Source organism: Homo sapiens, chromosome 6 (assembly GCF_000001405.40).
Source record: "Homo sapiens chromosome 6, GRCh38.p14 Primary Assembly".
NCBI lineage: Eukaryota > Metazoa > Chordata > Mammalia > Primates > Hominidae > Homo > Homo sapiens.
The window spans coordinates 103,132,773-103,142,070 of record NC_000006.12 but is presented as its reverse complement, the minus strand read 5'-3'; positions in this window follow the sequence as shown (position 1 = coordinate 103,142,070).

Sequence of the window (9,298 nt, the reverse complement as noted above, 5' to 3'; positions counted from 1 at the left end):
GCATAAATTTATTTCTAAATTAGAAATTTAAAGTAATCTTATTTGCTCTTATCAAGAAAGTCTGGATGGGTTATCTTCAGTTACCCTAAATGATAATCTATAATCCTGTTCCCAAATCTTATTTGTGTGTATGAAAACCACCTAGAATTTCTTTCACTATACAAGTGACACTTATTTAGAGAGTATATGGCAACTATAAGTTATAATTTTAAAGATACAACAGACTTGACTCAAATTCACAAGGCAATAACTGCTTTTTGTACACATCCAGTATAAACACATCTTGGATTTTTCTGAATGGAATGACCAGTTTTGTGAAACCCTTGAAGATCAGAACCTATTTTAATATAGTTTTCCTTGAAAACTTTTAATGAGACAGTATTGCTTGAACTATTAATCTTTTAATGAATACATATTTTGACAAATTATGGGGAAAAACATTTACATACTTAAACCAACGTAAACTTAAATCACTCCAGAACAGAAAACTGTAGAGACTTCAGGGACACCTGCTTCAGGAGGTTGATGAGTAATGAATATATTTGCTTATTTTAGTTTAAACAATAGCATGAAGTAAACAATACATTTAAAGTTTTGAAAATATTGCATCACCTACGTTCTATAATTATTTACTTGAAAAAAGTCAAATAAATCAATAAAAAACATTACAATGTGGTTTTTACTATAAAGATTCATTATGCTTCTATTTTTTAGCAAGCTCTGCACTTGCAGATTATGGAAGAAAAAGCACTCCTGAGAAACTATAAGGTATCTAGAGGAAATTTAAGAAACCTTTTTTCAATGGATTAATATTTAATCTGTCGTAACTACACTAAAAATGCAAAACTATTTTAAAGTGTTTAGTGAATTATCTGTCTTTTTCCACCTCCTGAGCTCCAGATTCCAATAACCTTCTCCAGAGGAAATAACACCATGTTTTCTGTGCACCTTTCCCCCTGCCAACATATTTCTCTATCCATCTTGGTTTTACTCAGGGTGACATACAAATTCAAATTGTTCTGTGTTCCCAATAATAAAACTAGTACTTTTTTCTGTAGTTTTCCTCCTTAGTGTATGTATGCATATGAGTGCACATGTACTTATGTGTGTGCTCTTCTGACTTTTGGAAGACTATTTCAAATTGTTATAGTGATGGCAGTGGCGGCCCTTCTGGAGCAGCCGCTGTGAAGATGCCAGCTACAGCAGGGGAGGTGCAACCTGGGCTGCACACTCCACAGAGCTGGCAGGAGCCAGGAACAGGAGGGAGCTCCACCCGCTTCCAAGTTGCTGGGGTGGGAACCCCACCTTCCTAGGTGCAGCTACAGCTGCCCACTTGCAGCTGTAGGCCCAGACATCACTGCACTCTCCAGGGCCAAGGAAGTCCTCCTGTCCCCACAGACAGTAGTGCCTGCTCCTGCTGGGTGGCACTCTGATTTTGGAGCAAAGTTGAGGCCAAGCCTGGGTGCTGTCACAACTCAGCTGGGTTTGCAAATGCTTGGAGTGGTGCTGACACACCAGCCCCCTGCTGCCTCGGCCCCTTCTGGACTTTGGGCTCCAAGGAGCACAGGAGGGAGGCCAAGGTGGGACTGAGGGAAGCTTGGCACAGACTTGCAGGCACCCCTTGGCACGAACAGCCATGGTCGACATGATTGACAATGGCAGGAGGCATACAGGCTCCTGGGTAGAAAGGGGCAGGTCTACCCTGAAGCCCTACCTTCAATCCAGGGATGGCCTAAAGTATGAAGGCCAGGCTGTCAGTTCCAGATGAAGACTTTGGACTTAAGTGAGAACATATTGTGCTTTGTCTGAGTCCACCCATGCCTTCCCATGGACCAATCAGCACACACTTCCTCTCTTCTGAGCCCATAAAAAACCCCAGACTCAGTCAGACTCAGTCAGACTCAAACAGATGTCAGGACAACCTGCCTGCAGATAGGACCTACCCATCCAGGTTTCCTCTCCACTGAGAGCTGCACAGACGTCAGGATGATCTGCCTGTGGAAAGGAGCTACCCACTTCAGGTCTCCTGGGAGCTGTTCTGTCATTCAATGAAGCTATTCTCTGCCTTGCTTACCCTCCAGTTGTCCATATACCTCATTCTTCCTGGATGTAGGACAAGAACTTGGGACCTGCCAAATTGCAGGACCGAAAAAGCTGTAACACAAACAGGGCTGAAACATGCCCCTCTGCTCGCCATGTTGTGGTGATGAGAAGGAGAGAAGAGCTGTGGTTCTTTGGGGAGCCCAGACCTAGAGGCTCCCTGAGCCAAGGCTGTGACATCCTCTTTGGGGCTCTATGATTCCTGGTGTCTCCAAGCTTCCAGGCACAATGGTGTTCCCCTTGGCCAGATATGGGTGTCCACAGCAGAAGCTGCATGCAGTACATCTGGTTCAACCAAAGCCTTGCATGGAGCCAGCACCTGTGCCAGCACCTGGAGCTGCCTGCCCTGCTGCTACAGCCAGACTGCCTGGCTATGCACAGTGGCCAGACCTCATGCTCTCTCACCCACACACCCCTTGCCATTCCATTCCTGGCTTGCCCTTGGCAAGTGTGGGATCTGGACTGGTAGGGAAAGCTGAGCACAGCCTGCCAGGCTGAGTGGGCAAAACAAACCCAGAGGGTGTGAGCAATACTAGGCAGAAGGCACTGCCAGCCACAGAGTTTTCTGGCTGGTGAAGCTTCACCCTAAGGATCCTATGAAAATAATAGTTACCTTCACAATATTGTATTATTTATGTTAAAACCCACATACTAATATGAATGCTCACCTTCTCTAGAATTGCATATTCTGACCTATGTTATTATATTATTATTTCAACATCATCATGATATGATACAAATCTGTAACAATTATTATTTGACGGTTTAAGTCTTGGGTCTCTATCTTATGGATTCAAAACATACTGTCAGTTTTTTTATCACAACCTCACTACTTTTCTACCACTTGGCTAAAACTTCAATCTCTAAAATCTTTTTATTAGTGATACTTTCTTAGAGTTTATGCATATTTGACAGTATGTTTCACTTTATAAGTGAATATAAGTTTAATAGAATATAAACTTATTGGATCATACCAAAGATTCCTGAGGACTTGATAGATATTATTTCATTTTCTTCTCACTTTTAATCTTGTTTTGAAGAAGGCTGAGATTATTCCAATATTTTCCTATTAACAATGACTTTTTATTCTTTATTGCCTTTTTTCTATGTACAAACATTGCCCAGTTAATTTACCTGCTTATGTCTCAGTATTGACCAATTAATATGCATTTTTATTAAAATATCTTAGGACACGATGTGTTCTTTTTTATCTCGAAATTCAAGTCTTGTTTACTTAGAAAATATCTAACAAAATATATTTTAAATATTTTTATTCTGTTTATTCATTTATTTTCAGTAACACTATTACCTGTATAGTGCATTTATTTGAACAGTTCCCTGTATCTATAATTTACTGATAGATATTTTTAAATTACTTTAACTTTTTAGTTTTACATTGCTCACTTTTCTCAAGGCTTCCTTCTATTTCCTGGCAATAATTCATCAACAGTGTCCCTTCTCTGTTATTTGTTCTAATAACAGCTTTATTTCTATGAATGGTCTTATTTTTCTTCTACACATTTTTTTCAATGCTCAAAATTTATTTATTTTCTTTTTATAACTTTTAATGTTTACTGCTTTTTATTATTTTTACTTCTTTTGCTCTTGATTCCAGTATTCCAATTTTATTCACTTAGATCCATGGAAATTTTATTTTTTTTCACATTTTTAAAAATCTCTGTAGCATTTATTTTGTTTTTATGCACTTCATATTTTATTCCTTTAAAATGTTTCTGTCAATTTTTTTGTTTTCTAATTCCTTCTATAAAATTAATATTTACAATTGGAAGTAGGAATTTTTTCTTGGATGTGCTCCAGGTGGAAGAGAATGGTGGAAGTGACAGGGGAATTCTCAGGGATTTTTTCAAAGTTTCACAGACTCATTCCATATATAACTCCCTGTAGTGTTCGCAAGAGTTTTGCAAATGAGAGTAACTTATTTGAGTGGGGGAGTCACCTTTTAGTTTGCTTAACTTGACAGATATCTGAGGGTGGGTAACTGACACCTGCTGAAATGCTCTTTGCAAAGACAAGGCTTCTGCAAAGTTTCTTGTTTATTCCTTGTTATCCTGCCATTATGTGAGGTTAACAGGGTTCTGAGAGGCTTCCACAGCTAACTCATGTTCTAAACAAGGGATCACTGACTCTGTTCCTCAGGATATGCCCCTTTAGTTACAAGTTTCAGTGTTTTGTTGATGTTACCTAGGATCTATTACTTCTTGGTTATTGTTTCTCTCTGGTCAATTTTCTCTGCTTCTATCAGAATTTCATCATGTTAGATTTCATTTGTTTTTTCATTTATAGGTATTTTCTGATTTCATTGAATATAAATTCTGTTTCCTAAATTTCTGTGTTTGGTTTCAGAGAAGAGAAGAAGACAGAGAGTTGCCTTTCTGGGAGGAGTGGGTTTTGAGCTGGAACACATAGAAATTTAGGGACACTGTTGGGGATAATGGGACTAGATCAGGTTTGTTATAAAACAGAATAAAAACAATAAGGCTCTTTTGGAGAAAGCCAGTCTATTAATTTCACTGGAAAAGAATGTTTTACAGTTACATCAATCTAAGATTGATGGTATAGTGATGAAGGGTTAAAAAGAGAAGTGAGATGCCTTGAAGTTAAAGGAGTTGGACTTGATATTAAAAAGTGGATTAAGGCATAAATAGAAATATGTTGAAGTTTAACCCCTTTACTGGGGTCTCAGAATGGTTTAGTTAAGACTGAGTGTAAACTGAAACAAATTAGTTTTTAAACTATGGAGTATTTGAAGAAAAGGTGGGATAATATGCAAGTCATTAGTTAGAAAATAAAAATCTGATAGCTTACGTAGGAAACAACGTATCCAATATGCATTTGATGTTTTTTCTTCAGTGTTATTAAAACTTTTGCTAATTCAAGATTTCTGTATAGAAAATGAAAGATGACAAATTGGATAAGCATAGAAAGCCATATTTTTAATTCCAAGTGATCTCTCTACTTAGATTTTTTAATTTTAAAAGAATTGCAGACTTATTCTAATTGTTGTACTTAACCCAACCTACTAAGATACCTGGTGACAGATTCCAAATGAAAAAAAGGAACAATTTAAATGTCTGTCTGATTATTGCACTGAATTCCTTAACTTCATCTCCATAAATGATATGCCACTAGATACCTAAATATGGCATAGCTAGACATTTTTATACTCCCAACATAGTTTTCTTTTTTGTGCTTTATTAATTACAAATTAAATAGCTTTTGGTCACATGAAATTCAATTGAATATTGATATCTACTGTGGTATTTTAACATTATATCCATCTAGATGAATCACCTTAGAAATAAACTCTCCACGAAATAAAACTCTTCTAAAACTTTTCATGTACTTCTATGAAACCAGAAGCATAGGCATCTGAGCTTGGTTAGCCTAGAGTGCCTATTTAGTGTTTATGAAAGTTTCGTGTACAGTGTTCATGGAAGTGTCATAATCCACAAGTCAGAGCAATTTGGGTTAAATGTCCAACTTGGCCATTTGCTATTCGGGTGACATTGAAATAGTCGGTTAACCCCCTTGGAACTTAACAACTAACGTCACTAAAATGAGATATAACATAGATATTATCAACTAATCTTTTCCAATTTATTTACTTTTTGGTTTAACACAGTTTTACAGCATTGTTCAGGTATAATTCATATTCAAAAAACTTTACATAACGTATATGAAGTGAGATGGACATATTCATACACCTGTGTTACCATCACCATGATCAAGGTAATAAACATATTCATCACTTCTAAAAGTTTTCTTGTGACCTTTTGCTTTTGTTTTGTATGTGATAAGAATATTTAATAATAAATCTGTCCTATTAACAAAGTTATAAGTGTGCAACACTGTATTGTTACCTATAGGTACTAGGCTGCACGGAGGATATTTGGAAGTTATTCATCTTGTATAACTCTAAGCTTGTACCCATTGAACGACATTCAGGGGATGGTGGCGAGGGGGAGATGGAAAGCTGCTCAATGGGTTTATCGCATTTTCTGAGCATTTACTCTATTTTAGTCAAAACTCTAAGTTCTAAGGCTACAGCTATGAATACAAACACTATAGCTAAGAGTTCTGCTTTCATAAATTACATGTCAGGTAGAAGGGAATAGCAGGAAAGTAATCAAACAAATATTATAGTTATCAAAGAATGATAAGCGATAGAAAGTTAGTGGGAAATAGTGACTAAGATTGGAGAGCTTAATTTATTCTTTGTGGTTAAGAAGAACTCTACGATGAATTGCACTTGAGCTGAGACTTGAAGGATGATTAGAGTGAACCATTTAATAATCTTTAACAAAACACTAATACACTAATATCCAGAAAAACAAAGTTATTCAGGGATAGTGAGGATGATGCAAAATGAGGGATAGCAAGGGAGATTAAATTATGATACAATAGACTTTAACAAGATTGGTATAAGATTGGTATAGTTGGAGGAATAATCAATGTGGGAAAGTTTGGATTAAGATGAGGCTTGAGAAGATGGCATGGGCCAGGCCATGTAGAGTGGCATATTAGAGAACAGTAATGATTTGAGATTTTATTTTGATTGCAATAGAAATCCTTTTTTGTTTTAATAAGATTAGTCTGGTTCTTATAGGGAAAGAAAATAATGGAAACAAAGAAAATCATTGGTATATATTTTCACATTCAATAATGTTGACTCCTCATATCATAGTTTATAAAAACTACTTGGCATTTGCAGACTTGCCCACCTCTATCTTCCTTATCCCTAGTCCATCCATTTTGGGTGCCAACTTTAAAAAGTGTTAAGGCTTTGTGAAGAAGAAATCAAAGGATAAAAACATATATCAGCCAACTATTACTACGTAAAAAAGAAACTAATTTGAATATTTTAATAATATGTATATCTCACACGTCTATAGATAGATAGGCTGCAGAGGTCCCACTGCTTCATTCTGCTGGGTGTCTCTAAGGGACATGTTAGCACTGGGTCAGCTGCATAAGTCGTTAATATGCCTTGGACCAGTGGGCTAGGAAAGACATGTGCTACATAGGGCAATGGCATACATGCAAGAGCCTGCAGAAACATGTGAGGCCAGCTTTAATCTCGGCTCAAAATTAATGCTTTTATTTTCACAGATATTTTATAGACAAGAGAAATCCACATAGCTAAGTTTAAAGTGAAAAGTCAAGGGAATAAATTTTGCCTTAAAAAGGAGGAAATGCAAAGTTACATGGCAGAAAGAGTGGATACAAGCAGAAGAGAATTGTGGACAATAACTTAATCTACAAGAAAAAGAACAGCTCTATTTTCCAGGGACATAAAAATCAGTTTAAAAAAGCTTATAAGCCCTGTCATAATCCTCAGTTCAAACTTTATGCATAAAATATTGTTTGCTATCACATATTCAAGCTTGAGTCAAGAAATCTGTGTTCATGTTATACTTCTCAGAAAATTTGTACTCCACATTCACTGACTAAAACACTTTTATGACTCTATTTGTAATTAAACACAGGCCTAAATTTTCATTTCACAGTTTAAACTTAAAATAATAAACTTTCTCTAGCTTCCTGCACTGATATTGACCATGCCATTTATAACTCTTCACACTTGTTTGTCACTTCCTCTATTAAAAATTATCTTCCAAATACTGGATATTCAATACACATTATGAATTAAAGCACTAAAAAGATAACATAAGGAACAGAGTATTATTTTATATAATAAATAGGAGTAAATGAAAACAACATTGATTTGTGCAGAATCTATATTATCAACTTCAGTACTCTCAGAAATACTTGAAACGATTGTTGTAAAACAAGGATATATTACTTTAAGTTACTTCTGTGAAAAATAATTGAATTAGGATTGAACTCTATCAAATGTGATATAAAATATAATTTAAATCCTTCAAATAAATAAAGCCATGTAAAAACACGTAATTTGCTAATTATAAGAAAAAATATTGTTACCAGAGGAGTGTCTCAACTACCAGTCATCCAGGTTCTTAGCATGTCGAACAAAGAACTGGACAAAATGCACAAACAAAGCAACAAAAGAAAAAACATAGATTTATTGAAGTGAAAGTACACTCCACAGAGCAGGAGAGGGCCAATTGCAAAATCTCCTGGAGTTTAAGTACCCTTTAGAGGTTTTGTATTGATTATACTCCATGTAAATGAACACTTGGCCTGTGACCAATCAGAGGCTGAAGTGAATACTTGGCCCATGACCAATCAGGCTGAAGCAAAATTACACCCTATGCAAATGAAGACTAGGTCTGCAATTAATCAGCAGCTGATGTGAAGCCTCCCTGTCTCCAGACCCTGTTCTCCTGCCTTAGTGTGACATAAAAGACCCAAATCAGATGGATTACAATTAAAAGCAACTTAAAAAACAAGAGATGACAATGACTTGTGAATGCCACAAATTGTTCTACCACAATCATCATAACAGGCTTATTGTTATCTAATTTTTGTTTGAACTTATTAAAATATATTTAAATACTCTGTCATCTGGAAGAGTACTTAAAGTATAACTCCATCTATATGTAAAATACATACAAAGTATTTTAGAATATCAACATATCCCAGTAAAATATTGAATATATTGCTATCAAAGAAATAAAAATGAAGAAAAAAGATATGACTATTCTAATATGAAGGTCTAAAATTAGCCTGAATTGGTTTGTTGAAATCAACAATGTACTAATGTGGTATTGTCTCCTAGACAAGCTGTGTAGTGTGTTGATTAATAAGAATTTATTTTTGAAACCATGGGTCCAAGGCAAACCTTAGGGCAGTTTGTATTAGCTTGTCAGCATTTTTTAATGGGTAATATTGATATGCATAATTTGAACCTAGTTTTAGTGAGAACACTAGAGAGCTCTACCATTGGGGCTAGTCATGTAGCAAGAAAGTGCACAAGGGAGGGCAGAGTATAAGAAGTCCTGGCTGAGGATCATAATGGGCCTCCTAGTTCCAAGGTGTTCCATGCATATATCCTTGGTGCCTGATTTGAGAGAGAAGGGTGTGCCATTTTTGTTATTGCCCCATAGAGGAAGGACAACAGAGGCCTGTGTCTAGTCTTTTTTGAGCCTTTGTTGTGAGGCAACTTTTGGCTATGAGGTATATCTTTATTCTGATGCTATTGTTGACTTGTATCCTTTTTCTGCAATAAACTGTAGCTTCAGAGGTATTGTTATTT